General features: G+C 34.5%; 1 protein-coding gene across 5 annotated transcripts in view; it reads right to left on the minus strand.

Annotated features, from left to right (window-relative positions):
* The window catches only part of TTLL7 (tubulin tyrosine ligase like 7), a 134,109-nt gene that overhangs the window by 7,886 nt on the left and 102,633 nt on the right, over nucleotides 1-23,590 (minus strand). For 4 of the 5 annotated variants that reach the window (NM_001350215.2, NM_024686.6, NM_001350214.2 and 1 more), the window contains 2 exons: nucleotides 17,412-17,572; nucleotides 10,054-10,227 (listed from right to left, as the gene is read on the minus strand). In NM_001350215.2, coding sequence (NP_001337144.1) covers nucleotides 10,054-10,227; nucleotides 17,412-17,572 — 335 coding nt within the window. Of the gene's footprint in view, nucleotides 1-10,053; nucleotides 10,228-14,272; nucleotides 14,376-17,411; nucleotides 17,573-23,590 lie in introns of those variants that run through there. The other variant, XM_047430680.1, reaches the window with a different exon arrangement.

Raw genomic sequence — 23,590 nt, forward strand, 5'->3', positions numbered from 1 at the left:
CTCAGGGTCTCCTACCTAGTAAGTGGCAGAGCCAGGATTCAAATCCATACAGGCTAGCTCCAGCAGCAGAGCTCCTAGCAACCATACTATATTGTCATGACAATTCTACATAATTATCATTGTATACTAATTTCAGTTTTAAAACTAATGGGTACAATTATTATACTCATTTTTTCAGAAATATGAAGTATAAAATAATCTAGAAAGTAGAAAGATATTATATATGCCGCAAACCTAAACTTTTTCATAGAAGCAGAAAAAGATGAAACTTTTTATTAAGACTTGAAAAGAAGTTCGGCATGAACTAAAAAAAGCATATAAAATTACATTGGAAGAAACACTTTTCTTCCCTAATGCAAGTGCTGTGGGATTTTAAAGTGTTGCAGGGAAATACAATGGATTATTTGCCTTAATATTCCATTAATATGTCTTGGGAAATCCAACACTAGCTAAACATCTAAGATTGTTTTTGAAATGTTCCTTGCAATGAAGTTAAACAATTTGATTTTTTTAAAGCAGGAAGACTATCTCATGGAAGTGGGTTTACGGATTAAAGAATTTGTGTAAAGCACTAAAAAATGGGAAAAGTTTACAGCTTACCTATTTTTCTAGCTTATTCTTTACATATGAAAATGGCTAACTCATTGCTAACTCGTGCCAAGGAGAAATACCTCAGACTACCCTATTTGTTTCATAGCCTCACTCCTCATCCTCCTCATCCCTAAGGCAGTTGTGCACATCTTTACATAACCATTATATTAAGTACAAACATAGAGCCTGCATTTATGTAATTCCTGATTGATGTAGAATTAGTTTGTCTTTTATATACCAATTTATTGCTGACCAGGAGGATCTCTGGAACATGACGCATTTCAAGACTGATAGAAATTAACCTTGAAAACATAAGCTACACCCACCTTCCTTTTCCTCTTCCTGGAGTTAAGACCAGGACCCCTGATTTCCCCAGAATAATTTTAGGACCTGGTTTGGAAAACTCAGGATAAATAAAGCTCATCAGAATATCTGTCCTGTCTTTTTAAAATATTTATATTATAGTGAAATACATAACATGAGTGTACTATTAAATAGTGTTTTTCTTACCATTTTTAATTGTACAATTCAGTGCATTAAGTACATTCACAATGTGTGTAACCATCACCATTAATTTCAGAACTTTTCATCATCTCAAACAGAAAACTCTTTACCCTTGAAGTACTAACGCCCCATTTTCCCTTCCTTCCTACCCCAGTAATATCTATTCTATTTTCTGTCTCTATGAGTTTGCATATTATACATGCCTCATATAAATGGAATCACAAGATTTGTCCATTTGTGTTTGGCTGTGTAACTTAGCATGTTTTCAAAGGTCATCCATATTGTAGCCTGTATCAGAATTTCAGTCCATACTGTGGCTGAATAATATTCTATTATATGTGTATACCATATTGTATCTCTTCAACTGTTGATGGGCATGGGTTGTTTCCATCTCTTGGCTATTGTCTTATAAATAATGCTTCTGTGAACATTGGTATACAAGTATCTGTTTGAGTCTTTGTTTTTCATTCTTTTGAGTAAACACCTCGGGGTAGAATTGCTGGTTCATATGGTAATTCTATATTTAATTTTTTAGAAACTCTCAAACTGCTTTCTACAACTGCCACACAGTTTTAGATTTTTACCAGCAATGCATGAGAAATCCAACTTCTCCACATCCACATCCTTGCCAACACTTACTACTTTGTACTTTTTTGATAGTAGCAATTCTAGTGGATGTGCACTAAATCCTGTGGTTTTAACTTCAATTTTTTGGGGGGAAAAGCCCCAGTTTCAAATTCTACCTTTGCCAAATCTAAATCCAATATGGATTTGGATAAGCCTCACTTTTCTCAGCTGTAAAAAATTCCAATAGTTTCTGCCATGCATAGCTCACAGAGTATGGAGCCAATGAAATAGCGTACATGAATGAAATATTATTTATAATTTATATATTATGAACACTGGCCTCAATAACAAGAATCTCTCTGTTCTTAGATAGATATATCCAAGTGTCTTAACCTAAGGACATAAATAATACCATATATTTAAGTAGTCTTTTTTTAAACCTTTAAATTATAAAGTATAAGGTATTTTAAAAAGTACATAAAACATAAATGTTCCATTGAATGAGTATTATAAAGTTGTGTCATTATCACCCATGTTAAGTAACTGAACATTCCTAGCATCCCAGAGCCCTGGATTACAGTACCCTCCCTCCTCATAAAGTTAACCACTATTCTGACCTTTATGGTAATTACTTCCTTGTTTACTACCCAATTATACATTCCTTAAACACCATAATTTAGTTTTGCCTGTTTTTGATTTTTCAATAAATGGACACAATATATATTCCTTTGTATCTGGCTTATTTTGCTTAACTTTATGTTTGAAACTAACCCATCTTGCTATATGTGTAGGTGCAGTTTGTTCATTTTCAATGTTGTATAATATTCCATTGTATGAATACTAGAAAAAATGTGCCCATTCTTTCATGGACATTTGGGTTGTTTCCAATTTTTAGCTATTATGAGTAAATGCTACTGTAATCATTCTAATAAGGGTCTTATGCACATGTGCACACATCTCTGCTGAGAATTTACAGGGAGAGTAGCTGTAAAAGGGTAGGCTTTAGATGTAACACCAAACTGTAAAAGGTACCAACTTTCACTTTACAAGCAGGGTAAGAGAGTTCCTATTACTCTATGTTCTCATCAACACTTGTGATGGATATGCAGTGATTCTGACATTTTGCATTTCCCTGATTATTAGCTTAAACACTTTTTCAAATGTTTATTGGTCCTCGTTTTTCAATTATCTTCCCCATTTTTCTATTGTGTGGTCTGCTTTTTTCTTTGAAATTGGTAGGAGTTATTATATAATCTTGTAAGAATTTTTTACAGATTATATGGGTTGCAAACACTTCCTTCCATCCTGTGGCTTGCTTTTCCACCTCTTAATGGGGTCTTCTGATGAACATATGTTTTTAATTTTAATATAATCTTTTCACTTGTTATTAAAATTTTTTGGTTCTATTAATCTTTGCATACCTCAAGGTCATGAAAATATTCCCCTGTATTATCTTCTGAAATCTTTATGCAGTTTTACCTTTCACATCTACATACTAATTTCATCTGGAAATGGTTTTCATTTATGGTGTAGGTAAAGTTAAGTTTCTTTTTTATTATTTGGAAATACAATTGTCCTAGAACCATTGTTTAAACAAACTTCCTTTTCCTATTTGTCATAAATCAGGTGTACACCACTTTTGTCATAAATCAAGTCTCCAGGTAGGCCTGGGTTGGTTTATGGTTTTTCTGAATGGTTCCAATGGTCTATTTGTCTATCCTTTTTGCCAATATTATACTATCTTAAATTACTTTAGCTTTATTGTAAGTCTTGAGACACTGTAGTTACTAAATCCTATGATGTTATATTGCTCTATTTCAAGATTGTCTTACTTATTCTTGGTCCTTTGCTTTTGTGTATAGTGATAGAACAAACTTTGGTCAAATTCTTCTCCCCGCCAAAAATAAAAAATAAACATTTGTTGAGATTTATAGTAGAATTACATTGAATTTACAGATGTAGGAAATTATTTGAGAAGAACTGACATATCAATAATATTGAGTGCAATGATGAATAAGACATACTTTTCCATTTTTTACATTTTCCTGCATAAAGGTCATATACATTTCTTGCGACATTTATTCCTAAGTATTAGATATTCTTTCATGCTTTTGAAAAAATATTTAAAATTTTATATCTCAGATATTTGTTGTTGATAAAGAAAAGTGTAATTGATTTTCCTATATTGACTTTGATTTATATGATTTCATCAAAATTGTTAAATTCACTTTATAATTTATCATAGATTTATTTACATTTGTATGAATACAATCATATCCACTTACTGAGTTTAGTTCTTTCTTTCAAACCTAATGCCTTTTATTTCTTTTGTCTCATTAAACTAGCTAAGACCGCTAATACAATGCTGGATAGAAGTGGTGATCACAGACAGTCTTGTTACTCATTTGAAAGGGAAAGCCTTCAGTGTCTCAACACTAGGTATGTTTGTTGTAAGTTTTTCTTAGTTATCCTCATCAAACTGGAAAATTTATCTTTTCTGTCTAGCTACTAAGCACTTTTTAAAGCATGAATGCATATTGAATTCTATCAAGATTTTTATCTCTATCTTTTGAAATTACCTTTTATGCTATTACTGTAGCAAATTACACTCATCACTTTTTAAAGTTATTCCATCCTTACATTGAGGCAATAGGCAGAAGTTGGTCATGATATATTATCCTATTTAAACTTTCTGGGTTCATCTTCCTAATATTTGGTTTAGGAGTTTTGCATCTATGTTTAGGAGTGCAATTGAACTGTTATTTTCCTTTGCCATAATGTCTTGGTCAGGTTTTGGTATCAAAAGTATGGTAGTCTAGAACAAGTTGAAGAGTGTTCGCTCCTTTGCTGTTCTCTGGGTGGGTCTGATAGAATTGGCCAGTGATGCCATCTACAGCTGGAGTTATCTTTGTGGAAGGGCTCTTAATAATTGATTTAATTTTTTCAGTAGTTATGACTATTTAGGACTTTCTATTTCTTCTTTTGTTTGGTAGTATGTGTTTTTCTAGGAATTTGTTAACACCAATGAAATTACTACATTTACCAGCATGAAATTGTTCGTAACATTTCCTTATCAAGTTGTAAATATTTGTAGAATCTGTAGTAACGTCTCCCTTTTCCTTCTTGATATTAGCTATTTCTCCATTTTATATTCTTTATCAGTCTCACCCGGTATTTACCAATTTTATTAGTATTTTCTAAAATCTGCTTTTGGCTGTGTTTATCTTCTTTCTTCTATGTTTGTTTCATTATGTCATTAATTTCTTCTATTTTTATTATTTTTTTCTGTATTCTTTGGGCTTATTTAAATGTTATTTTGTTACCTCTAAAAATGGTTGCTTAGATTTAATGTTTGCCTTTCCTTTTTCCTAATATATTCATTTAAATCTATAAATATCCCTATATTACTGATTTAGCCATATTCTACAAGTTTCATTTCTAATATTTTTGTTATCACTTAGTTCAAAATCTTTTCTTATGTCCATTATAATCTCTTATTTGATTCGTGGATTATTTAAAAGTATACTTTTTGACTATATTTTTCTATTGTTTTCCAGCTTAAAGGCATTTGGTCAGAAAAAGTTCTCTGTATAATTTCAATCTTCTGAAATTCTGTGAAATTTGGGTTTGTTTTTTTTTTTATTCCACTATATGGTTGATTTTCTAAAATTTCCCATCGTGCCTGGTGTACTGAATTCTAAAGTTAATACATTTACTTCTATATATGACAGTTAAGTCTGTTAATTTTGTTGTTAAAAAATTTATATCTTTACTGAGTTTTTTCTGAGAAATGATTATTAAATCTTCCTCTATGGTTGTAAATTTATTTCCTTTTTGTTTCTGTCAACTTTTGCTTTGCAAACCATCCCGAGCACTGTTACTCCTAGGAATCTAGAGTGTTGACAACAGCCAGCATCTTTGGCAGGCCCTGAACTCCTATTTTATCCCCTAGGCCCACACAACTGTCAAAAGCACTGCTCAGCACTAACAAATACTCACTAACAGGTACTGGGTTAGCAAGTACTTTCGAGTAAATGTGATATTTTGTACAGCTTTTCTAGTTATCATCAGAGGCAGGATTTATCCAAATATTTAATGTTCTATTACCAAAAGCAGAAGTGCTAACTTGGTGGTTTTTAAAATGTTTTTTAGCTATGGAACCCCTTGTGAAATGAGCTTATATGAAAGCTCAGTACATGAAAGGTAGAAACCCAAAAATGTCTTTTCCTTTGGTATGCATATTATTATTTTTTTCTGAGAGTGCAAAGTTGAAGGCCACTCTCTTCCATGTGATAGATGCCATATACTCTTTAAATCCTCTTAAGAAATATCCTGTAGATCTTTGGTAAAGATAAACCTGGTCCCCAAACCTGTCTGCTGTTAGCTCTATTTTCTATCTGTTTTAATTTTATAAATAAATTAACCAAATATGAATCACCTCATAAATTATTTAGGTATACTTCATAAGTTATTTCTATCAGGTACATTTACATTTATTTATAAATGCTATAAATATATATTCATGTTTATATTACCAAGTATACTTCATAAATAAAATGTGTCAATCTATTAATAAATATTAAGTGACTTCTACATTTAAGTAAAATGCTAAAGAGTCCGTTTCTTACCTATGAGGAAAAGAAATATGGCCACTTTTTACATATTGTTAAATTAATGTGACATTGACTTGAGTTTTAATAGCTAGATATTAGGGAGAAATGTTTACTTCTCTTCACTCCTTGTGTTCCAATGTAGAAGAATTTCCACTACTGTGAACTTCCTGGCCTCTTACCAGAACCAAATTATCTGATTTGAGGATTTAAAAGAAGGAAACAGGCATGCTTGGCTCAGCCTCTGTCTTTCTGGCTCTGCCTTTCTGCAGTGAGGATGCATCTTTTCTTGCTCACCTGCCAATGCTAAAAGAAGACTTTATGGGCTAGTGACATGGAAGGTTTGTGTTGATTCTGATCTGCCTTTGACTGGATGGATAAGTTGAATTCCATAATTCAGTATTAGAAAACTCACTTGGCTCACAGCTACACCATGTCCCCTAATGTAACTTTTATCAGCAATAGCACTATAGAGTAACAAAGTAACAGATGATGACCATATGTCTGACTCTAGTATTTCTCTATCAAATGGTTCTGAGCTTGGGCAGGAATGAAAATGTATTTACTGACATCTCAAAATGATTATAATCACAATACTGGGCCATCCTGACCATTTATCAGAAGTCCAGAAGTCAAGATTCCGTGGTCGGAAATCTCTTTTGACCACCAGCAGAAGAAAATAAAAAAGTCTGAAGCAACTGTAAAACATACCTTTTTCCTCCAACGTAACCAAGAAGACTCGTCCTACTTTGTGTACCCACAAAAGCTACAAGATCCATCAACAGAAATTAGTTTATGAAATCTAGAATTGTGGGAATGACATTAAAGAGTCTCAGTGAATTACTTCTTAGATTGAAATTTAAGATTTTCCTGACCATGCTCCCAGAGTATCACCCCTTAACAAGAAGGCTCTTCATTTATATGGTATGATGTCCAAAAAATGGCTATCATTCTTTTAAATCATATAAAAGTATTAATGAAAGTATTAAAAGTTTTATTTCAATAATTTGCTTCAGTGAAACCATTAAAACTGTAGAATATAACTTTGATATTTAAATATTTTAAATATTAATGGTTACCTTTACCACTGCTATTATTGTGATCAACCAGCTTCTATTTGTAGAAGAGTTAAAAGAGGTTAAATGTCTTGCAATGCAATGACATAAATGTCATGCAACACTACAATGACAGAATCTAAGACAAACAAAAATTTAAAATATTTCTCTTAATACTTTCTATTAAAAATATTCTGAGCCATTCTGCTGTTACAGGACACATTTGTAATAAAGTTCATTTTATTATACTCCCCAAGTTTTTTAAACAAACAGATCAATTTCTAGGTGTTTTTAACAAAAGAAAATCCGAGCTATCGTGGTTCCATTTTCCTCATTGTTTATTCAACTATTCACTGACTTTTTGAGTATCACTTAGTGTTTCAAAGTCATGGCTTAATTTCTTCTATCCTGAATAGTACTACAACTTACAAATATTAAAACTTAGATTCAATGCCATCCGCATCAAGCTACCAATGACTTTCCTCACAGAATTGGAAAAAACTACTTTAAAGTTCATATGGAACCAAAAAGAGCCCGCATCGCCAAGTCAATCCTAAGCCAAAAGAACAAAGCTGGAGGCATCACGCTACCTGACTTCAAACTATACTACAAGGCTACAGTAACCAAAACAGCATGGTACTGGTACCAAAACAGAGATATAGATCAATGGAACAGAACAGAGCCCTCAGAAATAATGCCGCATATCTACAACTATCCGATCTTTGAGAAACCTGAGAAAAATAAGCAATGGGGAAAGGATTCCCTATTTAATAAATGGTGCTGGGAAAACTGGCTAGCCATATGTAGAAAGCTGAAACTGGATCCCTTCCTTACACCTTATACAAAAATTAATTCAAGATGGATTAAAGACTTAAATGTTAGACCTAAAACCATAAAAACCCTAGAAGAAAACCTAGGCAATACCATTCAGGACATAGGCATGGGCAAGGACTTCATGTCTAAAACACCAAAAGCAATGGCAAAAAAAGCCAAAATTGACAAATGGAATCTAATTAAACTAAAGAGCTTCTGCAGAGCAAAAGAAACTACCATCAGAGTGAACAGGCAACCTACAAAATGGGAGAAAATTTTCGCAACCTACTCATCTGACAAAGGGCTAATATCCAGAATCTACAATGAACTCAAACAAATTTACAAGAAAAAAACAACCCCATCAAAAAGTGGGCAAAGGACATGAACAGACACTTCTCAAAAGAAGACATTTATGCAGCCAAAAAACACATGAAAAAATGCTCACCATCACTGGCCATCAGAGAAATACAAATCAAAACCACAATGAGATACCATCTCACACCAGTTAGAATGGCCATCAGTAAAAAGTCAGGAAATAACAGGTGCTGGAGAGGATGTGGAGAAATAGGAACACTTTTACACTGTTGGTGGGACTGTAAACTAGTTCAACCATTGTGGAAGTCAGTGTGGCGATTCCTCAGGGATCTAGACCTAGAAATACCATTTGACCCAGCCATCCCATTACTGGGTATATACCCAAAGGACTATAAATCATGCTGCTATAAAGACACATGCACACGTATGTTTATTGCGGCACTATTCACAATAGCAAAGACTTGGAACCAACCCAAATGTCCAACAATGATAGACTGGATTAAGAAAATGTGGCACATATACACCATGGAATACTATGCAGCCATAAAAAAGGATGAGTTCATGTCCTTTGTAGGGACATGGATGAAATTGGAAATCATCATTCTCAGTAAACTATCACAAGAACAAAAAACCAAACACCGCATATTCTCACTCATAGGTGGGAAATGAACAATGAGAACACATGGACACAGGAAGGGGAACATCACACTCTGGGAACTGTTGTGGGGTGGGGGGAGGGGGGAGGGATAGCATTAGGAGATACACCTAATGGTAAATGACGAGTTAATGGGTGCAACACACCAGCATGGCACATGTATACATATGTAACTAACCTGCACATTGTGCACATTTACCCTAAAACTTAAAGTATAATAATAATAAAATAAAAATAATAATAATAATAATTAAATAAAACAATAAAAATATAATTACCTGTAATCTCACTTTCTGTCAAAAAAAAAATACTAAAACTAAAGTTATATTATTCATCTCTATTTCTAATGAGAACTACAGTTGTCTTGAGAAATGCTAAAAGGTACTTTCTTTACTCTGTGTTTCTGCAGCTTAAAAACAATATTGCTTTTCATGCTTTTTGGAAAACTATTTTAACTGGATATTTATGAAACTCATTTTTCAAATAGAACTTGACAAAACTTTACCTCCTACATATTTGGTAATGAAAGGAATAGCAGAGGCAAATTGAACAATAAAAATGAAACCAAAGGTATCTTCCCAACTGTATAGTAGGCTCAAGGGTAAATGTTGAAATATCTCTATTGGAGAACAGAAGTTAAATATATTACCACATTTTTGGATGCTCTTGCTCTGGACTTTTGAAAGTGAAGGTATATAAGTCAAATAACTTCATTTCCAAGTATGTTTTATCACCTTTAGGTTCGTGATTGCTGTCCTTGTTCAGTCCCTTAAAGGTAAATACTGTACTAATTAAAAATATTTTGCAGATAATAGCATGTATGAACTTTCAGTCTTTAGCTTTTTCTCTAGTCACATAAACAAAAAAACACTGTCAATTTCAAACTGTGTTTTAGCATTACTTTACATAAAACTCTCAAGGGTTAGAGAATGTGAACAAGTACCTGGAATTACCCCAGTCAGGACCAATGCCTGAAAGTGATCCTCTTTTGTCAGTTGCATATTTGTAAACCACTAGCAGGCACTGTTTACAAAGCTCCACTAGGCGCTGGCAACACTGGAGCTGCAAAGGAGTCACCACCTCCGGGCTTTTATTGAATATACTCTCCCAAGAGGATCTGTTGGCATGGAAACAGACATGATCTCATGTTGGCTGTTAAAAATGACAACCAGCTATATATCACTTCCCTAGCAACAAACCAATAAGGGAAATAGAAATGGTCTCATACATTTGCAATAACTATGAATGGTTTAAAGATATATAATAAATACAAATCAGGAAATTAATCTTTATATTAAAGAAATACAACATCAAATACATATACTATTTGTCCGTGTGTGTGTTTGTGCATGTGGGTGTGTGTTTGTATGTGAGAGAGAGAGTGTGTCTCACTATGTTGCCCAGACTGGAGTACAGTGGCTATTCACAGGCACAATCATGATGCACTACAGCCTCGAACTCCTGGCCTCAAGTGATCCTCCCTCATTTTAGCCTTGAAGTAGCTGGGACTACAGGCATGTGCCACCATGCCCAGCACTATTAGTCCTTAAAGCTTTTAAAGCTGCCAACTTTGGATGGCTAATAGGATAGTCTTCCAACACCTCTTAAAAAATGGAGTTACTCTATATTAAGGTATTTGTAAAATACTGAGCTAATTTCTCAAAAATTAAGTATTCTTGGAATTTAGGCTTTCTCGGAATCTGTATTTACCTTAAGAATGAATGATCCCTTGAAATGACTAAAAAGTTGCTGAAACAATTGTTGACCTCTCTTCACTAGGAGAATTTAGGTTAATACCTTATTGTGACCATCCCTTTCAAAACACTTTCAGACATAACTATATCCATGATATTCCTAGAGCACAGGTTCTGTGTGCTAGAAGTAATGCTATCTTAACAAGTACTACCCTACTGCAATCCCAGAAGCAGTATGCCTTCTCCTTCATTGAACTCAGCTTATTCCAAAGCAGGTAATGGTGCATACTTCCTTGGTAAACTTCAATTTTGTGTGGGGGGTGTGTGTGTATGTGTGTGTGTGTTAACAATTCCTAAGTTTACCATCATGGCATCATGGTTTATATCAGGAAACACCTCACTACTCCACCAGTAGGGAGGGAGGGAGAGAGAGAGAGAGAGAGGGAGAGAGAGAGAGAGATTTATTCCTCAGACTTATTCCTTGAAACTCTTCAAGCCTCCAGGGGAAATTTTGGTTTGAGACTTGGTAATGATTCACATCTCATTTTGCATAAACCAATTCACATAACCCTCAGAGAGAAAAGCACAGGAAAAAGTATTCAGGACAATATTTTCCTGGAAGTAAACTTACCAATGGGAAACACAAAGACTCCACTTTCAACCTTCTGTGGATATTTGATATATTTTGAATTCTTAAAAAAATGCCTTAGAAATAGAAATGTATTTTTTCTAGAAAAGCTACTGTTTATTTTTTCAGAGAAATGTGGCCCCAAATAGACAGCATGCCATCAATGAATGACAGGTTTTCTTAAAGGGAGTAAGACTGAAATGAGTTAATTGAAAGAAACAAATTTTCTTCAGTGTTCTGAAATGTTCAGGACTAAATATAATAGGCTTTTAAAATACTGGTGTTTTTTCCAAACACTGCATGTTCTCACTCATAGGTGGGAATTGAACAATGAGAACACATGGACACAGGAAGGGGAACATCGCACTCTGGGGACTGTTGTGGGGTGGGGGGAGGGGGGAGGGATAGCATTGGGAGATATACCTAATGCTAAATGACGAGTTAATGGGTGCAGCACACCAGCATGGCACATGTATACATGTGTAACTAACCTGCACATTGTGCACATGTACCCTAAAACTTAAAGTATAATAATAATAAAATAAAATAAAATACTGGGGTTTTTTAATTGGCAAAGGAATGAAAATTATTTTTATTTAAGAAACAGTAATTCGACGGTTAAATTAACTGTAAAAACAAAATTTAAATTATTGCTAAATGGAAGAAAAACTAGATATGACACATACGTGTTTATCAAGATTTATAGATGTAGATAGAGATATAAATCTACTTACCTAATTTGATTTTAAAAAGCTGGAAAAATTAATTAGGGAATATGTTTATAATTAGTATACTTTGATTTAGCAGACCCTATAAAATTTCATATACATGTGAATATATACAAAAAAAATCCTGTGTTTTGACTGTCTGCCTGGCACTTTTCTTTCTGCTGGGATTTTGGGTATGTCTATAAAAGTCTACCTCCATCACCACCCTCTACTCTTAACTTGGATATATTTATTTCTTCATACTCTGGAGCTATTTGATCAGATCAACTATCAGATCACTCATATTATGGTAATTTTTCTTTAGAGGTAGGGAAAGAACAAATAAAATGGAAGAAAGTTAAAAGGGCTTCTTCTGTAACACTCTAATCTGATGTAACTTCTTGAATAATATGTGAGTTATAATATGGCCAGCTTTGGCTTCTCACTCTCTCATTCTCCCTTAAATATTTAAAATAAATATATGAATCAAGGTCCTATACATATTTAGTTCTGGTGTGTATATTTACCACTACTAGCCAAGAGTAAATTCTACTCTATATATTAATCCATATTTAGGTGTCAGCATACCAAAATACTCAAGAAAATGAAAGCAACCTGCTTCATCTGGCCCTAGGGCAGTGGGTGCCCCCTCTACACAAAGGAAAACTGAGTACAGAACTGTATCCCCTACTCCTACCTGCCACCTGGCATAGCTGAGTAGTTGTGAAATGCCTCTATAATACTACAGTATTTCAACTTTCAACACTAGCAACACAAAGTTTTTTTAAAAGGTGAAGGGAGGTAAAAATAGTTAAAATACCAGTGCTTTTATCAAAGAACCCCAGGTCTCATCTACCTGCTTTTTGAACCTAAATTCCAAGGAAATAGGGTCACCAAAATCCATGAATTCAAAAGGAAAAATTAAATGATTAAAAAGTTCTTTCTGGCTCTCCCTAATCCTCACAGCAATATAAAAGGAAAACACTTTAAATGACTTTTTTAAGTAATATCACATTAAGACAGAATACTGAATATCTCTGGCAACAAAGGAGAGTTATTCATGAAATCCAGAGACTTAGAAATCCTCACATTATCCAGTAATCCAATAATTTTCACCCACTTTCTCATCAAAACATTTCATAAAGCAGTTATCTAAAGAGTGAAACTGATTCATTCCTTTCTCTACTGGTACAAGTCCTGACTGAGTAGCCCAAAGTTAAGTAGCAGAAAGGAGAAAGGAAAAGTTGTGGTAGGGGTCCCTAGAATTGGCCCAGGGGTTTTACTGGATGCATCAAACAGAAAACACCCTTGTCCTTCTCTTTTCCTCTTCCAGGCTGCTGAAGTTTATACATACCAACACAGTAATCACCAACAGAAAGATTAATGACCTAAAAAGTATAACAACACATCCAATTGAAAGTGATATGAAAACAGGGAGATTCACATCATTTTAAGTAGTCTATATATTATGCATACCTTTTCAAGTAGGCATAATCCAGCCTAGAAATAGACTACGCCTTAGAATATTCCTTAAAATTTCTTCTTGCCCTAAGATTCTAAAAGAAAAGCTTTTACATGACAAACCCCAACAGGAAAATACTTTGGCTGGGGAATCCAGGCCAGATTCTCTTCTTTAGGGTTTACATATTGGATTTTGAGTGGAGATGGGGCTTTCCCAAACCATGCATTCCTTCTCCCATATGACCCTGGCTCCTCTCTTGGCTTTACCTCACAAACTCCTATTCTTCCTTTAACTCTCACCTGAAATGCCACTTCCCATAGCCACCATTCTCCAGCTCTCAGGCCTAAGTTTGAGTCCCATAGAACCTCAGACTTCCTCTATCCCAGTAAAACATGGTAGATAATTTTATTTATGGAAATTCCAAGAGCTATTTCCCTAAAGTAAACATATTCCAAATGTGGGCATCATAACATTCCCAGGAGGCTGCATGTGATAAAACTGTTACTGGGCATGGGCATCAGCAGACTGGTAGAGGAAAAGAGAGGAACAAGGGTGTTTTCTGTTTGATACATCAGCAAAACCCCTTGGCCAACTCTAGGGAAACCTACCACAAAGATCTACATTACTCTGGTGTTTCTGGAGGTAGACAGGGGATGGTTTACTTACTTTGTTTTATTATTGGGAATGTTGACAGGCAAAGGCAAGAATCAAGGCCTTGGATTCTTGGATATAATCAAACACTTGGATTATATTTTTCTAAGATTTTACACGTAACTGTGAAAGAAAGTTGAACCTTATATTAAAATCATTCCTTAAAAACTGAGAAGAGTAGATTTTCACCATGACCATTAGGCCTTCGGACCAAAGGTTAAAGGAGTATACATTGAGAAGGCATGATTCAAAGGATAAAGAAGAACTATTCTGGGTCCAAACTGAGAATCAAACACACACAGTACTATGTGACTTCACTAAATTGAGGAAGCCTAAAAAACTCATTAATGCAAAATAAAATCCGATATTAAACTCACCTCTTTAAACTACTAAATTGAAAGAAGTAGATGAGATTGGAGTCAAATCGGTCTCAAAACTACTCCTGCCTCACCTGCACAGGCATAGTAGGCTAGGGATTTGGCTAATGCTATGGACTTGCAGTAAAACAAGCTTGGCAACCATTGGCAAATCTGCTTTGGGGAATGTCAATGAAGCAAAGAGTTAAGAGCTTGGGCTTCTGACTCAGATTACCTGGATTTAAATACAGGCTCATACAGTTACTATGGGAAATTGAGTAAATTATATACTCTGTTTATGCTTCAATTCCTCATCTGTAAATGACGGTAATAATTTACTCAAAATACTTTTTGTGGAGATTATACAAATATTTAATATGTAAAACAATGTCAGACATTTAGTAAACCTTCAATAAATACTACTTACTATCCCTATGATTACTAGTACTAATAGATACCACCAGAGAAACTGGCAGGCAGTATTGTGCCAAGGATAGGAGAAAAGGATTCTGAATCAAGTTAAAGTATGTTAGCAAAATAGTTCAGGAAAGAGGAACCCTAGAAGCAAGGAAGCACCACTTCATGGGTATCTTTAGGGTCTGGTGTTGGAGATTATCTATGGACTCAGAGCCACAGCATTGATTTCACTAACAGATTTTCTCATTGCTCTCCATGGTAGAGAGTATCTGGGATTCATATATAGCATCAAGCCAATGGATCAACCAACAGAAAAAAAACATTTCCATTATAAATTCAGATTGGGAGAACTTTTACAGGGAGCCATCAACTAAGGGGCTGTGGAGTTCAAATGTTTCACTTAGGTCTCTGTAGAAATAATAGCCCAAATTATTCTCAGATTTCAACACACCCAGAGCGCCTTATTAATTCTCCCTGTTGGTTAATGGCAGCTAAAAAAAAATGGTAAAAAGACTGAGTCTCCAAATGATATGAATGATTCTGTATCACATGGCTAGAATATTTAAATGGAGAATATTCTGAGATCATTTCAGAATAGAACAGTCTGTTAAGGTTTTACAGAAGAGGTAGGTATAGTATGGGGCTTTACATTAGATTCAAATAATACAGAGGGTACAGAAGTTTGGGGTGGCAGAAAGCCATCTAATCAGATATTAAATGACATCAACAGTTCAGAGGAAGAAAACGACAAATTTTTAAGAGATCTGAAAAACAATGAGTTTTTTCTGGAGCACAATTCAAGTAGGAGAGTAATGAGAAGGAAGACTGGGGAAATAAGAAGAAAACAGCATATTAGATAGCCTTGTATCTGTAGATAAGAAGTTTAAACTTAAATTATAAAGGAGGAAAATCACTACAGATTTTAGGAAATGATTCTGACAGTAAGAAGGATATGAGAAACAAAAAACTGGAAACAAAAATGCCTAGAAATCTATTCATTTCACTTAGCTGTCTTACCAAAAAAAGGCTCTCTTTGTCTAAAATCCTGTCATACTTTATCTGTATCTCTTTTATAATGATGTATTAGTCCATTCTCGCACTGCTAAAAAAGACATACCCAAGACTGGGTAATTTACAAAGGAAAGAGGTTTAATTGACTCATAGTTCAGCATGGCTGGGGAAGCCTCAAGAAACTTACAATCATGGCAGAAGGGGAAGCAAACATGTCCTTCTTCACATGGCGGCAGCAAGGAGAAGTGCCAAGTAAAAGGGGGAAAAGCCCCTTATAAAATCAACAGATCCCATAAGAATTCACTCACTATCAAGAGAACAGCAGCATGGGGGTAACCATCCCCATGATTCAATTACCTCCCACCAGGTCCCTCCCATGACACGTGGGGATTATGGGAACTACAATTCAAGATGAGGTTTGGGTGGGGACACAGAGAAACCATATCAAATGATTTGCTTTGTATATATCATACTTTATCTGCTAGAGACATCAGAGTTTATAGGTTAAGAGCATAAACTCTGGAGTCAAGGCTAAATGAGTTCAAATCCCAGTTCCACTAGGTCCTTAGCACCTATCTGTGCCTCAGTTTCCTTATCTATAAAATAGAGATAATATAAAACCTGACTCAAATTGATGTTATGAGGATTAAATCACTTAACACATGTAAAGTGATTAGAACAATGCATCTCACACAATAAGTAATATGGTTAGTTATTATCTGTGTCAGATTCAACACTGTACCTCCAAAAATATTAGCACAAAAGTAAGTACTTGATGATTGTTGAAAGTATGAATGGAAACAAGCTAGTTTAGCCATGTGGGAATGTGACAGAAAAATAATAGGATTTGGCAAATGACTGAATAAAGACAGTGAGGGAAAAGGAAGATGCAGATGCCCCTGTGATATCCAACTTGTATGACTGAGAGAATAATAATAGGATTAAGGGAAGCCAAGAAAGGAAGCCATTTCCGAATAAAAGGACATGGAATGTTTGGTTTTAGATATCTTGAGGCTAAAATGACAATGAGTCACAGCAGCTTTAGCAGCACTAGGATTCTGGGGAGGAGGAGAAGTGTAGCCATAATTTTAGAAGGCGACTGCAGAAGAACTTCAAGGATATTGGTTTGTATTTTCTTTAATTAGGACTACCTTCTCTCCACCGAATTCAAATTAATTAGGTGGTGTTGTGTTCATATTCATCATCTTATCTAAATCAGCTTAATTGATATAAATTATAGTTGAGTACTAAACATTACATGCAGTAAAAGAAATCCATATTTTAAAAGATCATTCAAGCATTTTATTAGGATATCTCTATAACTAAATAGTAAAATATTAAAAATGACGATAATAAAAGATGACTTAGAGCTTACCCTGAATCACAGAAACAGTTCCACAGCCCTTGGCCACGACTCCAGAGTAAGCGATTAAAAACCCGGTTGAAAATCCGATATAAATTTACTTCTTCAACATCAGGCACCTTCCAGATGCGTGGAAGAACTGTACGAATACTTGTTTTCACTATGTCCAAAACCTAGTGGAAAAACCAAAGTACTTACAATCTAGGAATGTATATCTGTGTCTAAAATTCAAAGATGTAGCTTGAGCTCAGGAGTTCCAGACCAGCCTGGGCAATATAGTGAGAACCTGTCTCTACAAAACTGTTTTAAAAATTAGCCTGGCATTATGGCCCACATCTGTAGTCCCAGCTACCTGGGAGGGTGGCTAAGATGTGAAGACTGCTTGAGCTCAAGTAGTCAAGGATGCAGTAAGCCATGATCAAAAGTAAAAGAAATAAAAATAAAATTCAAAAAGGAACACACACACATGAACAATAGCATAGAACAAAAAGTCTAGAAATAGGCCCATGCATTTATGAAACTTCAGTATATGACAGAGGCAATAACTTAGACCAGTGGAATAAGAAGAGACTGTTCAATATGTAGAGATTTCAAAATTATAATCTTTATGGATTAGATGAAGAAAAGATAAAGCTGAATCCTTCATTAAATTAAAAAGAATCAACTCTAGAGGGGTTAAGGTCATACATGTTAATAAAAATAAACTATTCTGTATCTTAGTGGAAAGCATAGGTGAGTATTTTTTGGACCATGGGCTAGAAAAATACTACTTAAGTCACAAAAAGCTATGGACCATAAAAGATTAATAGATTTTGATTATATAAAAATTAAGAACTTCTGGTCATTAAATATACCTTAAGGAAAATAAAAGATAAACTTACAAACTGCAAAAATATATTCAAAACATATATATCCAGCAAAACATTAGTATCAGGAATATATAAAGAATGTTTACCAAAATTTTTAATAGAAAAAAAGGACAAAACATTACAAACAGGCATTTCAGAAAAAAGGAAATAAATATGCCCAATAAACATAAAGAACAAAAATTAAGGCTATAATAAGATATCCATGTAGCTGACAAAAATTAAAAGTCTGACAATATCAAGTGCTAGAGAGGATATGGAATCTACTGGGTCTCTTAAGACATTGCTAGTGTGAGTACAGATCGGTGCACAAACGGGAAAACAGTTTGGAGTTTGGTATTATCTCCTAAAGTTGAAAATTAATATCACTATGGCCCAGCAGTTTCATTCCTGAAATTATTTCTCATAGGTAAAAATAGGAGGCAGCATGTACAAGAACATTCATAGCAGCTGTTAACAATTGTAAACACCTAGGAACAATCGAACTCTTCAACAACAGGAGATTCAGTAAATAAACAGTGGATACTCACCCCCTCTGGACTACTGTGCAGTATTAATACAGTAGTCAAAATGAATCAAATATAACACACAAGATAGAACATCTTCATAATAAATGGTAAGGTAAAAAATGTACTAGAGACTATATATACCATGATACCACCCTTTTTTTTGAGGCAAGGTCTCGCTCTGTCACCCAGGCTGGAGTGCAGGGGCATGATCTCGGCTTACTGTAGCCTCAACCTCTTAGGATCAAGCTATCCTCCCATCTCAGCCTCCTGAGGAGGTGGGACAAGAGGCACACACCACCATGCCCGGCTAATTTTTATATTTTGTTGTAGAGACAGGGTTTCACCACATTGCCCAGGCTGGTCTTGAACTCCTGAGCTCAAGCGATCTGCCCACCATGGTCACCCAAAATGCTGAGATTACAGGCATGCGTCATCACCCCTGGCCATGATACGCTTGTAATAGAAGTAAAAACAATTAAGTTTTAAAAACACATGGGGAATACACATAAACATTATATATACACATATATATGAATATATATGTGTATATATATGAATATATATGTATATATGAATATATATACGAATATATATGAATATATATGTATATATGAATATATATACGAATATATATGAATATATATGTATATATGAATATATATACGAATATATATGAATATATATACGAATATATATGAATATATATACGAATATATATGAACATATATATGAACATATATATGAACATATATATGAACATATGAATGAACATATATGAACATATATATGAACATATGAATGAACATATATATGAACATATGAATGAACATATATATGAACATATATATGAACATATGAATGAACATATATATGAACATATGAACATATATATGAACATATAAATGAACATATGAATGAACATATATATGAACATATATATGAACATATGAATGAACATATATATGAACATATGAATGAACATATATATGAACATATGAACATATATATGAACATATATATGAACATATGAACATATATATGTGAACACATATATATGAGCGCATATGTGAACATATATATGAGCGCATATGTGAACATATATATGAACGCATATGTGAACATATATATGAACGCATATGTGAACATATATATGAACACATATATGAGTATATATATGAATATATATAAAGAAAAGAGCAAAAAGAGAGAAAGAGAAAGAAGGAAAAAGAAAAAAGAAAGAAAAAGAGAAAGAAAGAAAGAAAGAAAGAAAAGAATAAAAGAAAGAAAGAGAAAAAAGAGAGGGGAGGGGAGGGGAGAGGAGAGGAGAGGAGAGATGAGATTAGTGAACACTGAGTTCAAGAATATAATAACTACCTGGGAAATGGGGAGCCAGGGGGATGGAAGGGAATCATTTGGTTATATACGTTATTTCCAAGAACCTAGCTTTTGATTTGCGTGTTGGGTTCACAGGTGGTATAATAAACTTAAAAACACTAAATAATACTAAATAAAAGCAGGCCATGCACAAACCAATCATGAAAGAGTATAATGAAATAAGGACTATGATTAATCTGGACCACTGAAATCCTAGAGGTCCTAAAAAATTTGTAAACCCCAAAAAACTGTTTTGTCTAATTCACATGTACTTGATACTTATGCAATGTAGGTATTTCCAACAAAATTCTTTTGTAAAAAAACAAAAAGAAAAAAAAATGAACACCAAATACTAATATTCTGATCTCCATTCATCAAAGTGGATTTTTCACTTTTTGTTTTATCTAGCTCTATAATTATGGCAACTGCCTATACAAATGAAAGTGGAAGATGAAAAGGGAAAAAGACTTTCAAACATAAAGACTAAAGACATTTCTCTCAACAGACATAAACATGAAGAATTGGAAGCAGATGAAAGAATGATTTCTCTTTAAAACAGCAATATTTAAAGAAATGATGTTTGTTATCTCTGATCAAGGCAAATTTAAACATTTGTTTAAAAATAAATTTAGTAAAAAGCTTTCAAGGTGATATTTATAGAAGACTAGGAACTACAGCTTCTCACAGGGAACTGTGTGAGCAGCAGCATTCCTTCCTTTCCTGTTCCAGCTTCCTGCACTGTGATGGGGGCAGTAATACAAATCCTACTGTAGGTCAGGGTGTGTCCTAGGGGAAGGGGCAGGGGATGAGGAGGGAAAACACAATCTGTAATAAAGTAGTGTGTGAAAAACCTCATGAAAAGGCTCATTACAGGTAACAAATGCTTCATTATAAAGAGGAATATCTTAAAACTTCACAACAATATTGAAATATGAGTATCAAGGCATTAATTCATGCCTTTTAGTTTTTACAATTTTAATTTAAGCTATTAGTTTAACTCTTTATATTTTTTAGTGTAGAAAGCAGTGCTCATGACTAATGTGATATAAGAATCAACACTAACTGTAAATGATAAATTTAAATCATTTTTCTTCTCACTTTTCCTTTCTACTTTCTGTCAATATATTAGTAAGTAATAATAGGCCAAAAGTCATAATGCAGAAAGGAAAGAATAAAAAAGTAGCCAAGATAACCCATGTATTAGTCTCAAGGATAAATATGAGTTATATAAAAATAACTGAAATTGAAAAATGTTATTGATACTGGCAATTTTAACGTTACCTTAAGTTCATCAGTTTTCACATTATATTATAAAATGATTATTCAACTTTAAAATGATAAAGGATTTGAGACCATGGAGTATTCATTCATTTCTTTTTAAATACACTTCAAGGGCAACTAACATGTATCATCCGCCTGCTCTATGCAAAACACTGTGCTAGGCACATTACTTAGAGGAGATTCTTTTGACCACTACTCTGCATATATTTTCTTAATTTAGAGGGAATTTTAATAGCATGACAGTACCATATTCTAGCCCATACATGACTAAAAGCAGCACCTTCAGAATGGAGCCGGGGAGTTAGGGATGGGGAATGCTTCTGCTCCATTCCTAATGTTTTCTTCAATATGGAGATGGAAAAATCTGCAGGCATCATGGCACCCCATCAGGCACCTCTACCTAAGAAGCAATTTCCCAGATTGGTGAGACTGACATGGTCTGGGCAAACTAGGCACATTCTCCTTCCTGTCCAGAGCAAACCACTGGGAACACGCATTCCTCTTTGCTTCTCTTTGCTTTCAGTTTTCAAGGAGCCTCCGCAAGAAGGCAAGCTTTGGTCCTCGGAGACCCACCCCTATAATTTGGAGGGCATGGAACAACAGACTGAGGGAACAGGAACCCAAATCCTTCAACTCTCCTCTGAGTCTTCACATAAGCTCCTTCCTCTGCCTGAAACAGTCTTCTCCTATCTCTTCATCTGATAAACTTCTATGTTTCACTTCAAATGCCACTTCTAAGGAAAACTTTACCTGCCACTGAACTATTGTTTGATATCTTAATGCCCAGTTCTTCCTTTATTAGCAAGCACCTTATTTTATTTTAATTTCCTGTTTAATTAATGGAGACTGTTATGCATATAAAGGGAGTAAACTGTGCCCATCTTGATAATAAAGTTACCAGGTCCCCAAGGCTTAAGACAAGGTCTATCATTTAGTAGGTTCCTGTCTTAGTAAGTCATTCCTTGCAAGAAAGTCACACCTATGTAGACAAGGTAAAAAATCATTGAGAGAACTTACCATGTGCCAAGCACTGTTCTAAGCACTTTTACATATATTAACTCATTTAGTCCTCAAAACAAAAACATGAGGTAGATACTATTGGTCCACAGTCCCTTTCCAAAAATCTCAAGCTTAGATTCCATAATCATACATATTATTAATTCTGCAGGAAAAAAATGTAAATATTCAAACCAAGAGATAGACAAAATCAATACATAACTTCTTGTCAGGTCATTGTCACCAAATGAATTCAGGTAGGTTAGGTTTTGCTGCCTAGGGGTTATGAAAATTTTTTTGGTCGTGAAAACATTTTGGATCCCCATTTTATGGATGAGAAAACTCAGGCACAAAGCAGATAAGTAACTTGCCCAAGATTACCCAGCTCATTGTATCCAGACCTACGCTCTTAACTACATCCAGCACTGCCTCACAATTTAGATTTTCCAGATGCCAGCAGCAAAAGCCTAGAGAGAACCCCATTATCTCTTCTTAGATTCAGATTCATTTCTAGTCAAATGGTATTTGGGAGGAGAGTGGGATCACTGTGTAAAAACAAGGTTGCCTAGGCACCCCCTCCTTTATGGCCACGGAGTAAGGAATAGTTTGTTTAGAAGGCTATACAGATGGGGAGACAATGACTGTACTTTTAGCCAAATACTCACTTAATAATTTTAAGAAAGCACAGACCAGGCAGGCAAGAAATCAGACTGGAATGAGATAAATTAGTGCTAGTTCTACCTGTGATGCTTTTTTGGATTTCTGGTCCTTTGGGGATTGAAGAAATTGGATGGAAGATGAATAATTCGTGAAACACAAAAATAAATGATCAGCAAGGTGCCCTTGTGTTATCTGTGGGCTTACGTGAGGCTAATTTATAGAATATAGGTATCCATTTCCTTACATTATGACTTTTAAAAGCATCCCAATCCAACATTAAGCTCTCCAAGGGAAAAAACAAATGGGAGATTCAGTCAATGACAACATTAATAAAATGAAAAGATTTGTCTTTTCCATGTGAAATATAGCACATTTGAAGGCATAAAGCACACAGACAAATTCATATTTTGCAAAAGCATACAGATGTTGAATGACAAACTGCTCCATATGGCCGAACAGTTGGTCCTAAATTAAAATAATGGCACGAGGTGAAGGCGGTTTAGAA

Source organism: Homo sapiens, chromosome 1 (assembly GCF_000001405.40).
Source record: "Homo sapiens chromosome 1, GRCh38.p14 Primary Assembly".
In the NCBI taxonomy this organism is placed as follows: domain Eukaryota; kingdom Metazoa; phylum Chordata; class Mammalia; order Primates; family Hominidae; genus Homo; species Homo sapiens.